The sequence below is a fragment of the Homo sapiens genome, chromosome 15, assembly GCF_000001405.40.
Source record: "Homo sapiens chromosome 15, GRCh38.p14 Primary Assembly".
Lineage (NCBI taxonomy): Eukaryota > Metazoa > Chordata > Mammalia > Primates > Hominidae > Homo > Homo sapiens.
The window spans coordinates 31,675,562-31,697,838 of NC_000015.10; the positions used below are offsets into that span (position 1 = coordinate 31,675,562).

Genomic DNA, 22,277 nt, shown 5'->3' on the forward strand with positions numbered 1-22,277 from the left:
ATTCTAATTTTTTAGGACTTATCAGACCTAATAATGAAAACTTTAGAAGCATTTCCATCAAGGTTTAGAACAAACTCATGACTAAGTATTGTAACAAATGAGAACATTTTAAATGGCTGGAACAAGATCAACATCCAAAAATCAACACTTTTCCTACATGTCAACATTAGCCAAGTTAGAATTTTAAAAACAACACAAAAAGATCTATTTCATAATAGCCAACCAACCCCCACCAAATATCCTGTAAGTTAATTAGGAAAAACACACAAAAAGAAGGAAACCTTTATTTTTTTTCCTTTGCAGAAAACAATAAATCTTTAATGAGGTATAGAAAGAGAACTTCAATAAATGGATGGGAAGACTATATTGGTAAGTTGCCAGTTCCTCTCTAATATGTATAATAAATTGAATGCAATCAATACAGAATTTTTTGTGGAAGCTGACAAACAGTTTCTAAAACTTAGAAGAATAAGCCAGTAATTCCAAGACAATTTTGAAGAAAATAAGTTGCATGTTTGTTCTCCCACACTTCACACATAAAGATATTGTGACTAAAGTGATGGATACACAGGAACAGACAGAGACACATGGACCTGTGGAGGAGAACAGAAAATGCAGAGATGTGTGAGGGTAGTGGGAGAAGAGAGAGAGAATTTGGTAGATGATAATGGCAGATGCCCTTAACTTCCCATCCAATACCCATTCCCCTTCCTTATTGCCAACAGACCTTTGCTTTTGCTCATGGCTACAATGTGCTCAGCCCCATGTAGTAAATCCACGGGCTTAATACATGGGCTGATGATTGGGCTAAGTGAATCAAGACAATTCTGACTTCTGCTTTACCAGTTTTTCCTGCAGCTAAAAGTATCCATGTGGCCAGTTCTTTCTCCTCCATGAGCTGCCAAAATGCAACAGGAAATCTGCTAGGCTACTTTTGGCAAATGTTTTGCTTTCCTAAGAGGTATGCATAGAATCCTTCCACCTTGAAGTGATGTGATACGAGAAGCTGTGCTGGCCTGTGACCATGAGGGACGGGTCAAGAGAACCTGAAAGATGCTGCCATGACATCACTGAGCAGTCAACCCAATGGTGCACTGGCTCCCAACTCTGTCTTGTGAAATTAAACATCTCCAACGAAGCTGAAAGCATCGCTAACTGACAGAATGACACACGTGGGGAATCCCAAATTTCTGAAAAACCTGTGGGAAAAGGACCACATTATAAAATTTATAAAATAAGTTGGAAACCTAATTGGAAAAAATAAAGCAAGATTCCCTACATCATATCACTGACCAACAAATTCCACAGGAATTAAATACACATAGACAAGAAGTAAAACTGTAAGTGTGCCAGAGAAAAGTATAGGTGAATACATTTATGACCTTGCGGTAATAAAGTGTGCTGGAGACCCTGCCTGATGTTGACCATGGCCCTTGCCTTTGTGTTTCTAGGTCACATTTCTTGGCCTCCCAAGGCCAAGCAAGGTGTGGCCACGTGACTTAAGTTCCATGAAAATAGAATATGGCATGGAAGGAACGTGAGCCATTTCCAGGCCTGGCCCCAGTCTCCCACTGCATCCCCACTTCTCCCTTATCTCTTATTTGCCAGCTCAGCTCATTAGAGAGGATTCAGCAGAGAGTCAGTGACTCCAGGGGATAGTAGAGCTGCTGGATGGGAGAAATGTGGGTCCCTACATGATGGTGTGGTCTCTATCAGGCTGGCACATGGCAAGAAATAAAGCTGCCTTGTGTTAAAGTGCTGAGATTTGTGGGGATGTTCATTTTAGCATTTAGCCAGCCCTAACTAATAAATAAAGCCTTTTTAAGAGCTAAAAAGTGAAGGTCCATCCAATATGGTTTGGCTGTGTCCCCACCCAAAATGTCATCCTGAATTGTAATCCCCATAATCCCCATGTGTCAAGGGTGGGATCAGGTGGAGGTAATTGGATCATGGGGGTGGTTTCCCCCATGCTGTTCTCATGATAATGAGTGAGTTCTCATGAGATCTGATGGTTTTTATAAGTGCCTGGCATTTCCCCTGCTTGTATTTCTCCTTCCCGCTGTCCTGTAAAGAAGGTATCTTGCTTCCCCTTCACCTTCCACCATGATTGTAAGTTTCCTAAGGACTCCCCAACCATGCTGAACTGTGAGTCAATTAAATCTCTTTCCTTTGTAAATTACCCAGTCTCAGGCAGTTCTTTATAGCAGTATCAAAACAGACTAATAGAGTAAATTGGTATCACAGAGAGTGGGGTGCTGCTATAAAGATACCCAAGAATGTGGAAGTGACTTTAGAACTGGGTACAGGCAGAAGTTGGAACAGTTTGGAGGGCTCAGAAGACAGGAAGATGTGGGAAACTTTGGAACTTCCTAGACTTGCTGAGTGGCTTTGATCAAAATGCTGACAGTGAGATGGACAATCAAGTCCAGGCTGAGGTGGTCTCAGATGGAGATGAGGAACTTGTTGGGAACTGGAGCAAAGGTGACCCTTTTTATGCTTTAGCAAAGAGACTGGTGGCATTTTGCCCCTGCCCTAGGGATCTGTGGAACTCTGAACTTGAGAGAGATGATTTAGGGTATCTGGTGGGAGAAATTTCTAAGCAGCAAAGTGTTTAAGAGATGACTTGGTGCTCTTAAAAGCATTTAGTTTTATTCATTCACAAAGATATGGTTTGGAATTGGAACTTATGTTTAAAAGGAAGCAGAGCATAAAAGTTCAGAAAATTTGCAGCCTGACAATGCGATAGAAAAGAAAAACCAATTTTTTGAGGAGTAATTCAAGCTGGCTGTAGAAATGTACATAAGTAATGAGGAGCCAAATGTTAATCACCAAGATAATGGGGAAAATGTCTCCAGGGCATGTCAGAGGTCTTCACAGCAGCCCCTCCCATCACAAGCCAGGAGGCCTAGGAGGAAAAAAACGGTTTTGTGGGTTGGGCCCAGGGCCTTGCTGCTTTGTGCAGTCTCAGGACTTGGTGCCCTGTGTCCCAGCTGTGGCTAAAACGGGCCAATGTACAGCTCAGGTTGTTGCTTCAGAGGGTGCAAGCCCCAAGCCTTGGCAGCTTTCATGTGGTGGTTGGCCTGCAGCTGCACAGAAGTCAAGAATTGAGGTTAACCTCTGCCTAGATTTCAGAGGATCTATGGAAATGCTTGGATGTCCAGGCAAAAGTTTGCTGCAGGGGCAAAGCCCTCATGAAGAACCTCTGCTAGGGCAGTGCAGAGGGGAAATGTGGGGTCACAGCCCCCACACAAGAGTCCCCACTGAGGCACTGCTTAGTGGAGCTGTGAGAAGAGAGCCACTATTCTCCAGATCCCAGAATCGTAGATCCACCAACAGCTTGTACTGTGCACCTAGAAAAGTCGCAGACACTCAACACAAGCCTGTGAAAGCAGCCAGGAGCGGGTCTATACCCTGCAATACCACAGGGATGGAGCTGCCCAAGGCTGTAGGAGCTCACCTGTTCCATCAGCATGACCTGGATGTGAGACATGGAGTCAGAGGAGATCATTTTGGAACTTTAAGGTTTAACATTGCCCTACTGGATTTTGGACTTGCATGGGGCCTGCAGCCCCTTTGTTTTGGCTAATTTCTCCAATTTGGAATGGCTGTATTCACCCAATGCTTGTACCCCCATTGTATCTAGGAAGTAACTAATTTGCTTTTGACTTTACAGGTTCATAGGCATAAGGGACTTGCCTTGTCTCAGATGAAATTTTGGACTTGGACTTCTGGGTTAATGCTGGAATAAGTTAAGACTTTGGGGGACTGTTGGAAAGGCATGACTGTGTCTTGAAATGTGAGAACATGAGATTTGATTTGGAAGGGGCCAGATGTGGAATTATATGGTTTGGCTATGTCCCCACCCAAAATCTTATCTTGAATTGTAATCCCCATGTGTCAAGGGTGGGACCAGGTGGAGGTCATTGGATCATGGGGGTGGTTTCTCCCATGCTGTTCTCATGATAGTGAGTGAGTTCTCATGATAGTGAATGAGTTCTCATGAGATATGATGGCTCTCTAAGTGCCTGGCATTTCCACTGCTTGCATTTCTCCTTCCTGCTGCCCTGTAAAGAAATGTGCCTTGCTTCCCCTTCACGTTCCGCCATGATTGTAAGTCTCCTGAGGACTCCTCAGCCATGCTGAACTGTGAGCCAATTAAACCTCTTTCCTTTATAAATTACCCAATCTTGGGCAGCTCTTTATTGCAGTGTGAAAACAGACTAATACACCATCAAAATAAAGTTGATAAAACTGATAATAGCAAAAACCAAAGACAATAAACAAAGTTCTATATGAGAAAAAAATCATAGATATTTTAAAGTTACATAACAGAATAAGAAGTTCTGGAAAAAACATAAAAACAAGGCATTGGTATTCAAAGGACCAATTAAAAAATTGGCATATTATATGATTGTGTAATTTACAGGAAACTCAAATGACTAGTCGACAAATGAAAAGAGAATCAACCTTAGTCATAATGATGAAAATACAAATTCGACAAGATAATCACTAACCACCCTCACCCAAGCCCTCATGCATCAAATTGGCAAGGGAAAAAAAGCCTGAAAACATCAAGTCCTGGTGAAGTGAAATTGGTAGTTTTTAACATTGCTAGTAGGAGAATATTGGGCTAGTGGTGAGGTCAGCAGGGGGCATTTTTTTAGTATCTAAAATTGTTTTTAATATAGAATACACATTTTAATATAGAATTGTAACTGTACAATTCTGCCATTCAGTATCTTCCTGAGAGAACACTCTAATTATGTGTACAAAGAGGCATGTCTAAGGATGTTCCCTACAGCATAGCTGGAAATGTAAAAAAAGTTTGTCCATAGGAGATTGACTGAATCAAGCCTATTATATCAGTACCTGGACTACATTACAGGTGTCATCATGAAAGTGTCTCTAAGATATTAATGTGTTATAGCGTGATTAAACAATACTAACGGGAAAAAGGTCTCATGGGTAGAAAACTGTCCAGAAGGAAAACTGGCTATGGTCATGAGGGCTCTTAGGAGCTCAGGACCCGGGAGGGAAGGAGCAGGACACTCATCTCTACTTTAAGGCCTCCCAAACTCTTTGTCCCCTGCTCACATAATAAACCATACTTCAAGCATCATTTCCTACTGAAACTATTAAATAAGATACAAGAAATGACAGGGGACTGGGCTCCAGATGGAGGCAGATGCAAGCAAGAGAAGAGTAGAAAGGTGCACTTTGTTTAGCAGCTGAAGTGATGTGGGCTGGAGAATCCATGCAGGCTGTGCTGGCACAAACCCCGGGGAAAGGCAGGGCTAGTTTTGAGTTGAGGTTTTGCCATTCTCTTCAAGTGTGGTCTTTAGGAAGTCACTAAACCCCTGTGAATCCACTTCCCCATCAATACATGCGGAAGATACCATATCTTTCTTAGAAATTTGTTAAGTTTAAATAAACCTAAATAAAAATATATGTATCGGTCTGCCTGCCTGTCTGTCCACCTATCATCTATCTTCAATCTATATTCTATCTCTCCCTTTCTTGTTCCACCCACCTACCTACCTACCTATGTATCTTTTGATATATATTTTTTCCTGTCCGTATGTATCTATCTTTCTTATTAATTTTCTCATTGTCTGTCTGCCTTCCTCTTTCCTGATTTTCTGTCTCCCCTTCTGTTGGTCATGTGTCTGCTAAGTAGATGTCTAACTATCCATGTTTCTTTCTTTCTGCCATCCTGTCTATTTCTACCTGTCTCCATCCATCCATCCATCCATGCACCCACCCACCCAGCCACCCACCTATGCATGTTTCTGGGTGTCTATTTGTCAGTATGTCTGTAGGTCTTTGTGCTATATATCTGTCTATATGACCACCTGTCTGTCTCTCTATGCTAGAAACTCTCTGTTTTTCTGTCTGTCCATCTGGAGTCTCAATGTTTTTCCTTGTCTGTATGTCTTTCAATCTATCTTGTTTGTGTGCATATCTACCCGTATGCCTATGAATGTATTTATCTGATTATCCAAAACCTGCCTGAATGTCTGTCTATATATCCCCCTCCCTCCTTTCCTTTCTCCCTCTATACCTTTCTGTCTGACTGTGTTTCACTGTCTAATAATGACTGTCTAATTTCTCTCTGACAGTCTAATTTCTATTGACCACTGTTGACCTACCTTCATGGTGCTTGACACAGAGCAGAGCCTCACTCAAGGCTAGTTTACTTCCCCCTTTTCAGTTCCTTTCACTCTTTCATTGCTCCATTCTTACACTCAGCTGCCATTAACTGGGCCATTGCTCTGTGTTATGTGCTAGGGATACAACCTAAAATTAGGCAGGGTCTCTACCTTCTAAGAGTATTTGGGCTGCTGGCCTAAAAAGCAAATTAATGAGGCAGTTATATGATGCTTAGAGCTATGAGAGACAAGATGGTGTCAGGCACAAGGGAAGGGCACCCATGCTAGACTGGAGTGGAGGAGAGAGTGAGAGAGGCTCTGAGGAAGTGACATCTCATCTGAAAACCACAGAGGACTGGGGATTTTGCAAAGTGGAGGGCTGAGCTCCATGTAATTGGGGAAGAGGTATGGACAGTGGTGCAAAGCTAGAAAAAGGGAACAGGGTCCATGTAGACCTGGAGAACAACAGAGCCAGGACACAGTCAAAAATTCTAACTAAGGAATTCACAAAATTCAGACAAAAGAGACCAAAATTGACCTAAATAGAGAGATGTATTGTTTTTATGGATTGTAAGATATACCACAGTTAAGATGTCAAGTATAGTCACACTGATCTATAAATTCAGTGCAATCCCAGTCAACATTCCAGCAGGTTTCTTTGTAGGCACAGACAAGCTGATTCTAAATCTATATAGAAAGATAAACTAGATTAGCCAAAACAACGTTGAAAAAGAAAAAAGTTAGAGGACTCGCACACTTGATTTTAAGATGCATTATAAACCTCCTGTGGCCAAGACAGTATAGTATTGGGATAGTAAAGGATAGACACGTTTACTACTAAAACAAAAGACAACTGATTTTTGACAAAGGCACAAAGACAATCCAATGGAGAAAAGATAGACTTTTCCAAAAAATGATGCTGGAGCAAATGGACTTCAGTAAAGTAAACTCAATCTACATCTTACACCATATATAAAAATTAACTCTGAATGGATCATAGACTAGGTGTGCCTGTATGTTTAGGTGTCCATGTGTGAGCATGTGCATGCATGTGCTGTGTGTGTGCATGTCCATGTGAGTGTGCATGTGTTTAATAGTGTGTATGTGTATTTGTGACTTCTGTGTGCATGTTTATGTTGAGTGTGTGTGAATATATGTGCATGTTTGCATGCGCATGTGTGTATGAATGTATGTGCACATTCGCATAACTGTGTGTGACTGTGCGTGTTAAAAAGGGACACAGGGAAGGGTGTCTAAGGGACATTTGGTTAGAAATTCCAGTGGGCTGGTTGCTTATACTTGGAAGTTTCCAGACCACTTAGAGTAAGTGGAATCAAGATAGTCAACGGCAGTGGCTCTTTCCATTAAGAAAAAATAATTTAGATTTCACAAATACAGGAGAATTTCAGCTTTTGGGCTTTCTTATCGGCCCATATTAGTGGACTACTTACACATGTCAGCGACTGGTAAAATTCAGTGTTTTATTTTAGTGTCTATCTTTTCAAATAGAATAAACAATTTTCCAAAATAAAAAAATAAACATAAAGGAAATAAATATCTGTCATCATGTATGGCTCTGAACTTTTAAAATAGATAACAGTGAGATAGGTGGATTCTGAAGAACCCACCCAGCTTTCTATAATACCCTGTCAACTTTATGACCTAATAATCTAGTAATTGTTTTCTTCTTTAGTTTCTTGGGTTTTCATTTTTAGTCACTAGAAACACTTATATAAATACAAATCCATGCAGGTATTCCAAAAATTCCTGGGGACAATTTATGTGTAGTCCCTGGTTCTCACTGACTCAGTTTTGAAATGAGGATAGCAGTTTCTATTTTAATATGGTTGTGGTGGTGATTACATAGCATAGTGCCTGGCACATAGCAAGTACCAAAAAAAGGATAGGTACCTCATAAATATATACATCTACTATACACCCACAGAAATAAAAAAATTAAAAAGATAGGTATGATTATGATTATTGTGGCCATTATTTATGTATTTATTTGCAACATATTCTTAGATTAATAACCTTGGAAACCTAACAAAACCGTCTGGAGTTCTATTCCTTCAGAAGATTTGCTTTTGGTACTTTTTATATCAAAATAACATATAATTTTTAAAAGGTTGGTTCTGAATTGAAACTGATGACTATGAAGTCCAAGTTTATAGGATCAGCTGTTTGAGTCAGAAAGAAACTGCATTCTTAAGCAGAAAATTTATTTGTCCACACTCCCCTGAGGAAAGAATGGTAAAGCCAATTTCATTCAAACACTAAGCATTGGCTCAAGACCAAATAAGAAGCATTGCAGCCCTGGATGATGTAGCCACAGTAAGTTGGAAGCAATTGATTTCAACAAAGAAAACGATTTTGCTACTGGCCAAGGATGGGGAATCTTTCTGACTTGCACATTGTCTCCACAAATAAGGTGCCTCTAGTTAAGCCTCCCTAATCAATGGCCAAGGATGCAATTACAGTTGCAGAGAAGTGGAACTCAAATGGAGTGGGAATAAAGAAAGGAAGATTAATAAATAATAGGAAAGCGGGAGTAGAGAAGCAGGAGAAAGGAGATGGGAGAAGCTGGCAAAGATGAAACACAGCTCTGCTGAGAAGCATATATCCAAGAACAATCAACACTATAAATTTCATGGATGCTGCATCAGTTACCTATTGCTGTGAAACGACAACTCCCAGATTTAGGGACTTAAAATAACACATATTCATAATCTCACCATTTCTGTGGGGCAGAAGTCAGAGTGCACCTTAGCTCAGGGTCTCTCACAAGGCTGCAACCAAAATGTGAGTTGAGGCTGCAGTCTCGTCTGAAGGCTCAAATGAGGAAGCATTCTCTTCCAAGCTTACTCATGTGATCATTCACAGAATTGTTTCTGAGGGTTGTTGAACTAAGAAGCTCAGTTCTTTGCCACGTGGGCCTTTCCATAGGTGAGATCACAACATCAGAGTTGTTTCATCAGAGCAACCACGTGAGAAGAGTCAGAGAGAGCCTGAGCAAGACAGAAGTCGCAGTGTTTGTATCCTGGTCTTGGAAGTGACATCTGTCACTTCTGCTGTATTTTGTTTATTAACAGCAAGTCACCATGTCCAGCCCACACCCAAGGGCAGGGGACAACACAAAGATGCGATGTCAGGAGGCAGGAATGCTTGGGAGCTGTGTCAGAAGCTGCCTCCCACACATGGCCTTGCAGTATCTACACCGGAGCTCAAGTGCATTGTGCAGGCCAAAAAGCAGCACCTTCACCCGGTGCTACGTGATCACTCACAACTTGTCAATCACCATATTTTAGCTGATTGTTATGGAAACGTTGATTCCAAACTTGAAAAAGGGAAAAATGATGATTTCTGGAATCTGTGATATTCTGCTAGAATGCAAATAAGTCTGATTGATCCCATTCTGAAGCTCTTGAGCAGTGTGACAAATATTTATCTAATCATTCACAATTGGTTAAAATAAAGAGGTTTACAGCCCTGTGAGATTAGCCTGCAGAATTGATAGCTTATGACTTTTACTGCCTAGTAAACAAGTTAACTCCAAATTTGGCATTTTTTTCATTGCTTTGTAGAGGTTTGCCTTAACTTAGCATCTTATTTCCGCATTTGTTTCCCAACTGACCTTAAAAATCCCAGTTACTGGCTGGGTGCGGTGGCTCACGCCTGTCATCCCAGCACTTTGGGAGACCAAGGCGGGTGGATCATGACGTCAGGAGATCAAGACTATCCTGGCTAACACGGTGAAACCCTGTCTCTACTGAAAAAAAAAAAACAAAAAACAAAAAAATTAGCCGGGCGTGGTGGCGGGCGCCTGTAGTCCCAGCTACTAGGGAGGCTGAGGCAGGAAAATGGTGTGAACCCGAGAGGTGGAGCTTGCAGTGAGCCAAGATCGCACCACTGCACTCCAGCCTGGGCGACAGAGCGAGACTCCGTCTCAAAAAAAGATCCCAGTTACCAAATGCTTGTGGAGCCAGATCATTTGTCTTTTTGCTGGTTCCCTTACTGATGAGTTAAATAAAGCTTTGGAACATGGCAACAGACGACTTTGCCTGAGAATTGAGCTTTTGCACGCTCTAGGAGTAAACCAGAACCAAGATGGACATAGGGAATTCAGCAAAGTGCTGAATAGACACTGGGTTCCTGGCCTTCTCTTGACTGGCTGACCCACCTTCACACACTTATGGGGCACAATGTCTGTGTGGATCGCAAGCCCCCAGGGGATTTAAGAACTGCCCTGAGGGTGTGTCTTCAAGCCTTTTGTGAATTTATACTTATGCCATCTCACGGGGGACTGTGTCTCTTTCCATGGCTCAGCACCAGGGCTTTGAAGAGTAAGACCCAAAACCAAGTTCTGGGTGTGAGGGTTTCCTGGCTGGTGATGCTGTTGAACCCACACTGGGGAACACATACTGCCAGGCTGCTGCTATGCAGAAGGGAACAGGAAGAGGGAGAGGCCTGGCCCAGGGCTGTGGAGAAGGAGGGGTCCTTTTCCCCTGAGTGTGGCCAAGCACCTGCAAGCCTCCTGGGAGTGGGCCTCTCTGCAGGGGCTTTGCCTTGGCTTCCAGCCACCTCCATTTGGTTCTCCAGCACACAGGCCATGAGCGTGGAGCTCACTCAAGACTAGAGAGCTCAGGTTTCCAAGTGGACAGACATTCTGCAGGATGTGCTTTGGGAAACTGAAAAAAAGCAGCCCTGATATTTCCATCCACACACTCAAGTGAAACTCAGTGATTTCCTTGGTGTTGATGCAGAACCAGAGGTTTGCTTTCACCTGCACTTCACTCCTCCCATAACCTTTGGGTTTGCTCCTGGGAAAGCAGAAAAGACACAGTCCCATCTCCAAGGAGCAGATCCAGAGGACGAGGAGACAAGCAAGGATTCCTGGCATGTAAACAGCTGGTAAGAAGGAAAAAGGAGATGTGGAAAGGCTTCAGGGAAGCCTGGGGCTGGAGCCCACCAGAAGAGTCCTCCGGTCCTGGCAAACCCCAGGCTGGCTGGGTTGATATTGCCCCAGAAAGCAGAGGAACCCCACAGGGCCATCCCTTCAAGCTCAGCCCGACAAGAAGCCAACAGAAAGCATGTCATTTGGATGCAGGACACAGAGCGGTCTTCTCTGTGAGCACCAGCTCTCATCTGCTTTTAAGAGTTGTGGGGAAGAAAATGAGGCAAGTAACCTTTTCAGAGGAAGTATTTTTAAGATATTAACATGTTTTCCAACAGCAATGTTTTTGAAGACTCAGTCTAATTCATATTCGTGTGTAGCTTCTAAAATAACCTATATTTTCACAAACTGTTTTCTTGGTAAAATTTTCAAAACATTCTCAAGGAAGATGCATTCTGTGGCAATGGGATGCCAATAAAACTAAAAGGACTTGATTTAAATAGAAAAAAAAAAAAACCACACATAATCTTCAAATAAAAGCCCAATTGGTTACTGACTGAAAGGCAAACCGACAACAGACTAGGGAGGTTCAGGCCTAGCGAGGGGAGGCAGTTAAGGCTGACCGAGAGCAGGAGGAGGAAGCCGATGGGGGAGTGCACATCGGGACAGTGTTCGCTGATGAATACTTCCTGCCATAGTGGTTTCATTCCCTATGCAACCTTTTAACTGCAGGGACACAGAGCGTGGGGCCTCTGCTCTGTCACTCAGATTTATTAGCATTTTTGCTAAAGGTCTTATAAGAGATCTCAGGAATAAAAGCAGCATCCAGTGGCTCTCGCCCATGTGTCTTGTGTCTGATAATAATTAACAGCTACTGCTTAGCAAGGCCAGCCACAGGCTGTACCCTCTACCATATGCCTCCTGCGATGGTCACTCCCAGTCTCCTAATTGTAATTATAAGGACACTGAAGGTTTGTGAGGAGAAATGTTTGCTCGCAGTCACCTGGCTGTTGTATGACAGAGACAAGATGCATACCTAGATGCCTATCTGAATGGTCTAACTTCAGAGTCCTCCTCTTGACCACCTCAGTATATGCTCCCTTGTGTGATGACCCCACAACCACAGAAAATGTGAAACATGAAGGACTATGTGACAAAGAAAGTCTGAGGTCCCAATAAACTAATGGGTTAAAAATTATAATAACAACCATCAAGGGATGCTAAGATCACTGGATGAAAATCAGCCAGGGAAGAGAATGTTCACAGGGCTTCAAAGTTTGCCCCATTGCTTACTAGTAAAAGACAAAGAATGTAAAAAGTGACTTTACAGGCTGGACGTGGTGGCTCACACCTGTAATCGCAGCACTTTTAGAGGTCAAGGCAGGTGGATCACCTGAGGTCAAGAGATTGAGACCATCCTAGCCAACATGGTGAAATCTCATCTCTACTAAAAATACAAAAATTAGCTGGGCGTGGTGACGGGCGCCTGTAGTCCCAGCTACTCGGGAGGCTGAGACAGGAGAATTGCTTGAATCCGGTAGGTGGAGGTTGCAGTGAGCCGAGATCGTGCCACTGCACTCCAGCCTGGCGACAGAGCGAGACTCCATCTCAAAAAAAAAAAAAAAGTAACTTTATAAAGAGAACTCTTGTAGAAATGACCTTAGCCCAGTGAACAAACTTATCACCATGAGCCACGGTGTGCCCACTGATGTGCTGGAAAGAGAAATGGAGGAAATGTCTATCTGAATCTAAGTATGAGGAAATAATCAGACAGGTCCAGATTGTGCAGCACTCCATAAAACAAGTGGCTCAGACTCTTCAAAGACGTCAACATCACGAAAGAGAAAAACGAAAGCAGGCCTTTAGTTCAGATAAAAAGAGGCGTAACTGAATTCAGTGAGTGATACTTAATTGAACACTAGGCAGGGAAAAACAGCTATGATGAATATTTGGGGGACAATCAGGGGTATCTGGGTAGGGACAACATATTTGGATAATATCACTTTATCGATATTATATTTCACAGTGGTAATAGTGCTATACTTTTGTAGAAGGTAGCTGTGTACTTAGGAGATGATGCCAGAGTGTCTCATGATGTCAGCAACTTACTTTCAAATGATTCAGACAAAAAGAATCAAACACACACAAACACATATTTACCACCTGTGTGTGTCTGTTTGTGTATAAACAATTGGTAAATCTGGGTGAAGAATTACGGGTGTTCACTTTTCTATTCCTTCAAGTTTGCTGTAGAATTAAAGCTTATAAAATAAAAAGTAGGCAAGAAGGTATATAAAAATTTTGTTCCAAGAGTCATAAAGCAAAAGAATGGTTATGCTCTCAGTCAGATTAAAATTGTATTATTGGATAAGAAGTAACAGGAAACAGTAAAAGTAAAAATAATTAGTGTGTTAAGATAATGGCACTATTTTTCTTTTGCTTATAATATTTAAAAAATCAATAATGGTTGCAACAGATGACAAATTTTGCACTGGTATAAATCAAGTCACTTGTCAATCACTACAGTTGTTTTTTTTTTCCTTTTAAAGAATAATGCCTATTATTCCAATCTCAAATTCTAATGCAGTATGAAATACATTTCATGACTCTTTCTCAATGAACCTTACACTTTATCTGGGCTTTAGATCTGATTTCCAGGGAGTCCACAGAACCACTACCAGCTCTATTGTCAGAGGCGGTGACTGCACTTGCCCCTTTGGCCTGCCACTAAGACCCCACGAACACAGGACTTACTTTTCAGACACCTGATTCTGGAGGTGTGTGGCAGTCAGGCATGCAGGCCAACACTGCGCCGTCCCTGCTGGAAATGGCCCATTGTTGCCCCAGTGGAAGGTGAGACCACAGCGCCTGAGAACTCTGGAAAAGACAATGAGAATAAAAGAGAATGTTCACACTTCATGGGAAGTGAGAATTAACAATTTCAATTTTAGGATTAATTTTTTATAGTTTAAAAATTAAATATTAATGTTTCAAATTTTTAAATGATTTTAAATATTTAACATGCATTTGAAATTGGCTGGTGAATCCCACAGCCCTGAATCCCACTCCCAACACACGATCCCACCCTTTAATTTTCAAATGAATGTCCCATCAGGAGACAGATGAGGATCAATGGGAAAAGTCTCATCCGTGTGGACTTAACAGACGTGAGGGTGGGCTCAGAGCCCCTAGAAGCTGATGTGCCAGGGGAGGGGACTGTGCTTCTCAGCGGGGCTCAAACACTGAACTCTGACTTCTAAGATTCTGGGAGAGAAGTTCTGGGGGTGTGATCTGCAGGGAACCTCAAAGTGAGGGGGCTGTTCATGTTCCACACAGTGGAACCAGGTACACCCCATCTCGACTGGGCATCCCCTAGGTCAGCAGATGTCTGTATATTTTTACCTTTTGAGGCCATTTATTTTATCTAATAACTTATACATAAAATTTAATTTTTACTCAGTCAAATAACATATACAACCTCTAATTTCCACATAGGATAAGGTCCCTAGTTCAATCTAATTCCCATCTCTTCCTCTGATACCTGCTATATTTTGTTGAAATCATTTAAAATGTTGATTTGAAATTGCTTTTGATTTTTGTGTTCTACTTTCTTAGGAATCATAATTCTTAACAACTACTTTAAGCTTCAGTTCTATATTATTACTTGTAACACAACTGTGTTTTGGTGTTTGCTAACTGATCACGAATAATTTGCATATCTCTCATTGGTCCTTTATTAAGTTTTAATTTTACTAGAAGGCTTGAGTAGTACTTTCAAAATGATTTTGTAGGCAATAAATTTTCTGACTTCTAATGCAAAAGAACAGAATCAATAGCCAAGACAATCTTGAAAAAGAAGAATAAAGTTGGAAGTCTCACACATCTTGATTTCAAAACATACTATGAATCTATGGTAATCAAAGCATGTGGTGTGGGCATAAAGACAGATTTATAGTCCACACAAGGTAGACCAGAAATAAATCCTCAAATACATGGTTAAATCGTTTTCCACAAGGGTGCCACACATGGCCTCGCATAAATGGCCAAAGGTTTTCCACAAGACCATTCCATGTGGAAAGAACAATCTTTCCAATAAATGGTGCTGGGAAAACCGCATATCCACATGCAAAATAATGAAGTTAGACTCTTACCTAACATTGTATGCAAAAATTAACTAAAAATGGATCAAAGACCTAAATGTAAGAGCTAAACCTATAAAACTCATACAGGAAAATACAGAGGAAAAGCTTTATGAAACTGGATTTGACAAGTATTTCTTGGGTATGACACCACCAAAAGAACAGGCAACAAAAGGAAAAATAGATAAAATGGACTTCATCAAAATTAAAAACTTTTGTGTACCAAAGGACATTATCAACAAAGTGAAAAGGCAACCAACAGAATGACAGAAAATATTTGCAAATCATATATCTGATAAGGGATTAATATCCATAACATATACAGAACCCCTGTAACTCAACAGGAAGAACCTGAAAAAATGGAAAGATATCCCATGCTCATGGATTAGAAGAATTAATATTGTTAAAATGTCTATATTAACCAAAGTGATTTACAGATTCAATGCAATTCCCATCAAAATACCAATGACATTCTTCACAGAAACAGAAAAAAGCCTGAAATTCATATGAAACCACAAAAGACCTTGAACAGCTGAAGTGATCCTGAGCAAAAAGAACAAAGCTAAAGGCATCATGGTTGTGTTTTCAAATGATACTACCAATCTATAGTAACCAAAAGAGCATGGTACTGGCATAGAAACAGACACATCAACCAATGGAACAGAACAGAGAACCCACAAATAAATCCACACACTTAACAGCCAACTCAGTTTCAACAAAGGTGGCAAGAACACACACCAGGGAAAACACAGTCTCTTTAATAAATGGTGCTGAGAAAACCAAATATCCATATGCAGAAGAATGAAACTAGACCCTCATCTCATCATATACAGAAATCAACTCTAAAATGGATTAAAGGCTTAAATATAAGACCTAAAATTATGGAACTACCAGAAGAAAACACTGGGGAAACACTTCAGGACATTGGTTTGGGCAAAGATTTTTGCATAAGATCTCAAAAAGGCAACAATAGAAAAATGGGTTTATATCAAGCTAAAAAGCTTCTGCACAGGAAGCAAAACAACTAAGTGAAGAGACAACCCAGAGAAAGGGGGAAAATATCTGCAAACTTCCATCTGACAAGGGATTAATAACCAGATTATATAAGGAGCTCAAACAACTCAATAGCAAAAAAACAAATAATCTGATTAGAAAATCAGCAAATGACCTGAATAGATGTTTCTCAAAAGAAGACATACAAACAGAAAACAGGCATATGAAAAAATGCTCAATATCACTAATCACCAGGGAAATGCAAATTAAAACCACAATGAGATATCATCTCACTCTAGTTAGAATTGGCTTTTATAAAAAAGACAAAAAATAACAGATGCTGGTAAGGATGTGGAGAAAGGGAATGTAAATTAGTACCATCATTATGGAAAACAGTATGGAGGTTCCTCAAGAAACTAAAAATAGAAGGACCACATATCCAGGAATCCCACGGCTGAGTATATATTAAAAGGAAAGGAAATCAGTATATTGAAGAAATATCTGCACTCCCATGTTTATTGCAGCACTGTCTGCAATAGCTGAAATGTGGAATCAACCTAAGTGTCCATCAATGGATGAATGGATAAAGAAAGTGTGGAATATACACAGAACGGAATATTACTCAACCATAAAAATAATGGAATCCCGTCATTTGCAGCATCATGGATGGAACTGGATATCATCATGTTAAGTGAAATAAGCAAGGCACAGAGAGACAAATATCACATGTTCTTACTCAAATGTGGGAGCAAAAAAAAGTGGGTCTCAAAGAGGTAGAGAGTAGAACAGTGTTTACCAGGGGCTGGGAAGGGAAGTGGGGAGGAAGAGAAGTTGACTAATGGGCACCAACATGCAGTTGGATAGAAGAAATTCATTCTTGTATTTGATACCATAGTAGGAAAATTATAGTTAACAATAAACTACTTCCTGGGTCCCTTTCTTTGTTCACATTTTTTCCCTCAGGAATTTTCAAAATTCCTGTTTTCTCCTGGCTCCACTCAAGACCCAGCTCAAATGCCATGTTTGTCACGAAGCTTACCTAAGAACAGCCTTTGACCCAGGGGTCCTGTCTCCCATGCTGGACTTGGTCCCCTGCCCACCTCTGGGGTGTTCACTCCACGGACGTGCAGTCCCCTGGCTGAAAGAATGAAGGATGCCCATCCCCACCACTAACAACCCTCACACACTTGCACTGGGACAGACACTTTTCCTGGCTTTATCTCTTGGTGGATGGCTTTATCTCTTAGTCTTCCTAAAAGCTTCAAGAGAAGAGTGAGTTTCTAGGAAATGGGCTTTAATTCACACAGTGATCACTCGGTCTGTCTCTCAGGAAGGTGCAGGAGAGATGCTCAGGCCAGGTGTTCATCTCTGCCTCAGGCCTGCTGGTAAGTGGTTTTGTTTATGGTTCCCTAATGGAATAAAAACTTACAGCATGTCCAGGAAAAATTTTCAGGAAATTTAAATTCAGGAGAAGTCTGTAACAACTTCTGGAAATAAAGAGGAGAGTCTCTTTTTTTTGTACTCTAAGATACTGTAAGTCCAAAATATGTCCGTAATGAATTATGTAAAGATCTGGAAGGCTGAAGTGCTTCTCGAAATGCCAATACCTCTAGAGGGAAATGCAAGAAAATAGCCATTGGGTAAAATAAGTTCAGATCCACAACAAAACAAAAGGGAGGGGGGTAAGGCTATCAGCTAAACTAAGGGTGGGATGAATGCTTCCTGCACATTTTAATCCTGGGGAGAACAGTAGTTTCTAAAACAAAACAGGCATTTTAGACCTGTATTCTGGCTCTGAAATGCAGAATGTGGCTGGATTGGATGTGGTGATGCCAGGCAGACACACCCTTCTCAAAGCCCCCAGGGCTGACAGCGGGCCCAGGGAGTGTGCTAACGCTGTGGACACACCGCGTGTCTGGGGCGCTCCAGGTGAGAGCAGAGACCCAGGTCTGTAAGGTGCAAGTGAAAGCCCAAAGAGGCTGTTCTAGCTGAATCCTCCTCTCCATCCAGCCCCTTGGTGTCACTGAAGGCCAGCACACACGGGAAACCCATCAGCCGGGCTTCCCCAGGTCTGGGATCAGTACTAGTCATGTCCCCTACTTGCCTATGGTCTAAAAAGCCACCACAGCTGCTTTGTCCCTGCATCACCACGGGACTTGGGCTGTTCCAAAGGTCCTGGTGAAGATGAAAAGGGACCTCTGAAGATGCTCCAGGGACCCGAAGGATTCACTGCTCTAAGCTGACACTATTGTAAAGTAAAAATACAAGGCACTGAGAAGGGCTCAAGATGAAGGCAGGACTACAGGACCAGAGATGCTTCCAGGACTGACTGCTGGGAAACAGCAGGTACAAAATGAGCAGCAGCTACCCAGCAGGGTGCCATGTGACCTTAGTGACCCCAGAGTGGCGCTCAGAAGCCAGGACACTGCCCTCACAGAGCCAGTGGAGGGGGCCCACGCAGCGCAGGTGTGTGAAGGGTCAACAGGCACTGGCATGCTCTCTGGCATCCCTCGGCTGGGGGCCTCCTCCCTCAGGCTACCTGGATCCTGGGCTCTTACCGCTCTCCTTGTCCCCCACTCCTACCTAGGTTTTGCTGTCTTTTTTCATTCAGTTCTCCCTCTCCCTGTCATAACACCCCTCCACCCTTCACAAGCCCAGATCCCCTCAAGCCCCCTTCCCCCGGGAAACCTTTGCTCATCATTCAACCAAAAAACTTTTTGTAACACCAGTTTACTTTATTATTATCTACTCTCAGCAAGTTTCAAGAATTTTTAAGGATACATCGTTACAATAGTTACCATGTTATAATAGTCCCCATATATCCCTTGAACTTATTTATCCTGCCTAAATGAAATTTGTATCCTTTGACCAACATCTCAACCCACCCCACCTCCCCCAGCACCTGGCCAACACCATTCTGCTCTCTGCTTCCGTGAGTTCACCTTTTTCGGATTCCACACATAAGTGAGATCATGCAGTATTTGTCTTTCTGTGCCTGGCTTATTTCACTTAACATGATGCCCTCCAGGTTCATTCTTGCCGTACGTGACAGGATTTCATTCTTTTTATCACTGAATATTATCCATTGTGTATTTATACCACGTTTTACATTTTCTTTTTTTTTTTTGAGACAGAGTCTTGCTCTGTCGCCCAGGTTGGAGTGCAGTGGCGCGATCTCGGCTCACTGCAAGCTCCGCCTGCTGGGTTCACGTCATTCTCCTGCCTCAGCCTCCTGAGTAGCTGGGACTACAGGCACCCACCACCACGCCTGGCTAATTTTTTGTATTTTTAGTAGAGACGGGGTTTCACCGTGTTAGCCAGGATGGTCTCGATCCCCTGACCTTGCGATCCGCCCACCTCGGCCTCCCAAAGTGCTGGGATTACAGGCGTGAGCCACCGCCCCGGCCATGTTTTACATTTTCTTTATCCATTCATCTTTGGATGAGCACAGGGTGGTTCCATGTCTTGGCTATTGTGGATAGAGTGCTGCAGTGAACATAGGAGTGCAGGTAACTCTTTGATGTACTGATTTCATTTCCTTTGACTATATACCAGCAGTGGGATGGCTGGATTACATGGTAGTTCTAGTTTTATTTTACTGAGGAACCGCCACACTTTTTCCGTAATGGCTGCACTAATTTACATACCCACCAACACTGTACTAGTGTTCTCTTTTCTCCACACTTTCACCAACACGTATCTCTTCTCTTGTGGGTAACAGTCATCCAAACAGACATGAAGTGATTGATATTTCACTGTAGTCAGCTAGCAAAACTTTAGTTTATTATTCATTTGCATAAAATCCAGATCCTGCACAAACCAGCAACATTTTAATGAGCACTTACTATGCTAGGAGGTGTAGGCCACGAGGCAGAAATAAAGTTGAGTGGTTTTGCCGTCAAGAGCCCTGTAATCTGAAACAGGAGACAGACCTGGAGACCGACACCCGCAGCTCAGCCCGCTCCCTGGTGAACGCCTGAGATGCAGAGCAGCCCCCGTCCAAGGGAAGTCACGGCTTGCCTTGTCATCTGCCTCCGGGGAAAGGGAACTCTTCAGAGAGAAGGAGATACTTGGCTTGGGCCTTAAACTCTAAATAAGAGTTCCCAGAAGGGTAAGGAGGGCAGAGGTCTCTGGTGTTTGCTGAGGGCCTATTCTGTGCCAGGCCTTCACTAGGCAGGCATTGCTAACTTCTCTCAGGTAAATTCTCTCACACACACCTGAGGAAGAGGGGCTCAGGCACACACAGGCCTGTCCTTCTACTGCCCCACGGAGGAGAATTCTCCGCAGAGAACCTCCAGTGCAGACACGGGTTGGGGGTGGGTGGCCTGCACACGAAGGAGTCCCCTGTGCAGGGGGTTGGGGAAGGATTTGGTGTAGCTGTGGGTGTGAGTGACAGGGCACAGGGTTGAGGGGGGCACAAGGGGCTGGGGGTGGACAGGCAGAATGGGCTGTCCCTGCAGCATCATTACAGAGAACTCCTCTCCACAGAGGGGCAGCCGCTGGCGTGTTGAGGCCAGCAAGGGCTCAGGCCAGAAGCGCATTTTGAGCGTGCCTGCTGGCAGCATGCTGGGGACTGCCAGTCTGGCAAGTCACAGGCAGCACCTAAATCTGCTGAAGGGAGAGGGTCTCTGCAGCTCTCCTGCAGTTCCCTCTGATCTGAAATCTTGGTGCCTTCCCTGCACTAGGGCAGAATCTGGGCCCATCGCCTTCTCACCATCTAGATGATGCCTGTGTGCCTCTGCACCCGGGCCCCGTGTCCTCCATGGACTGTGCCTGCTCCACTTCCTCCCACACCTGCCTGCATCCCTCACCAACATATCACACATATTCCACTCCATCCCAGTGTGCGAGCCGGCCCTTCAGCTCCAGAGAGACCTCAAAGGGCCTGTGTCCCAGTGCTCAGAGGCACGCGTCCTGGTGAGAGGTCAGACCCAACGGCTGCTGGTCCACCACCCAGATGACTCAGAGGGACTCAGAGGGAGTTAGGGGAGTTCCCATGAGTAGCAGCCTCTGTCACCCAGATGGGGGTGGGTGCCCACTTGGAGGGCCTGGGGCTAGGTGTCTGCAGCCTTTCAGGGCAAATGCAGCCAGGAGAGGAAAATAGAGGAGGAGTGGGGAGTCCAAGCATCTTGTTGCTCAGCAAAAGCTGCCTTTGTGCCCAGGCATCAAGGTCAGGGAGAGGAGACTGCTGCTCTGTCACCTGTCCTGGGTGTGGGGTGGCCTCTGCTAACTTCTTCCCTGGGGGAACTATAATTCTAAAATGTGTTCAAGTTTCCCAAGAGAAAGAGGGTGCTGGCTGCTCACCTCTGCTTCCTGACCTCACTGTTAACCCAACTTCTCAGAACCAAGATAAATCATCCCTTTTTTAGCTTCTACTTGCTTTCAATTGCCTAAGCACAACCAACATTGCATTTGACCTGCACGCCAATCCCAGGGCCCAGTGACATGTCCAGGTGACCTGGGATTTCCCGAGTGGACTCCTCCCCTCCACCTGCCTCCTTCCCCAGGCGGCCCCTCCTCACCCTCAGGTTTAATGCTGCTACCTCCTTAGAAAGGCCCTCCTTGGCTGCCCTTTATGAATGATGTTTCTCAACCTTTGCTTTCACTCACTCACCCACATTACTTTCTGTGGCGTTAGCAATCACCCTGTTAATCTGTTTACTCGCATGCTGTCTGCTGAATCTTGCTAGGCTGCTATCCCATTCGGGTTGTGACCAGGGTCCTCCTGAAGCCTGGCCTCCAGGGGGCCACAAAGACCCAGCATCTGTGGTTTTAGGCTCAGGGGCCACAGAAGACAAGGGTTTCAGAAGAATGAGACTTAGAGCTACTTGGGGTTCAGGAGGTGAAATTGAAAAGATTCTTCTACCTGACCTTGAAGCAGAAGAGGACATTTCTGAGTGTCTCCTCGTACCAGGCATGCGCCATATTCTCTATCATTACATTTTCACAACAACCCCGCGCTGCAGGGGCTAGCTAGCATGCACACCTGCTTAAAGACCACCTGTCCTGAGCCCAGAGGAGTGAGACAACCTGCCCAGGGTCACACAACCAGTCACCTGCAACCTGAACAGCAAAGCCAATGCGCTGTGTTAGCATTGTGCC

General features: G+C 43.4%; 1 protein-coding gene across 3 annotated transcripts in view, besides 4 other annotated features; it reads right to left on the bottom strand.

Moving 5' to 3' along the window:
• Positions 1 to 22,277, bottom strand: part of OTUD7A (OTU deubiquitinase 7A) — a 395,276-nt gene that overhangs the window by 200,164 nt on the left and 172,835 nt on the right. For 2 of the 3 annotated variants that reach the window (NM_130901.3, NM_001329907.2), the window contains exon 2: positions 13,798 to 13,920. The exons of the other annotated variant lie outside the window; for it this stretch is intronic. The gene's annotated coding sequence lies outside the window, so the exon portion shown is untranslated. The remainder of the gene's footprint in view (positions 1 to 13,797; positions 13,921 to 22,277) is intronic. 3 annotated transcript variants of the gene reach the window in all.
• Positions 1 to 22,277: part of a biological region, named in NCBI's record as "distal CHRNA7 low-copy repeat recombination region", that runs on past both edges of the window. NCBI's record gives its function as "recombination_partner: LOC106736476".
• Positions 4,968 to 6,342: a meiotic recombination region, noted in NCBI's record as "meiotic double-strand break mapped by DNA meiotic recombinase 1 chromatin immunoprecipitation followed by single-stranded DNA enrichment and sequencing in the germ cells of some male individuals with the PRDM9 A/C genotype". NCBI's record gives the evidence for it as "DESCRIPTION:chromatin immunoprecipitation-seq evidence [ECO:0000229][PMID:25395542]".
• Positions 18,480 to 18,576: a non allelic homologous recombination region, noted in NCBI's record as "sub-region 2', recombines with sub-region 2 within the proximal CHRNA7 low-copy repeat recombination region". NCBI's record gives the evidence for it as "EXISTENCE:nucleotide sequencing assay evidence [ECO:0000219][PMID:20506139]".
• Positions 22,133 to 22,273: a non allelic homologous recombination region, noted in NCBI's record as "sub-region 3', recombines with sub-region 3 within the distal CHRNA7 low-copy repeat recombination region". NCBI's record gives the evidence for it as "EXISTENCE:nucleotide sequencing assay evidence [ECO:0000219][PMID:20506139]".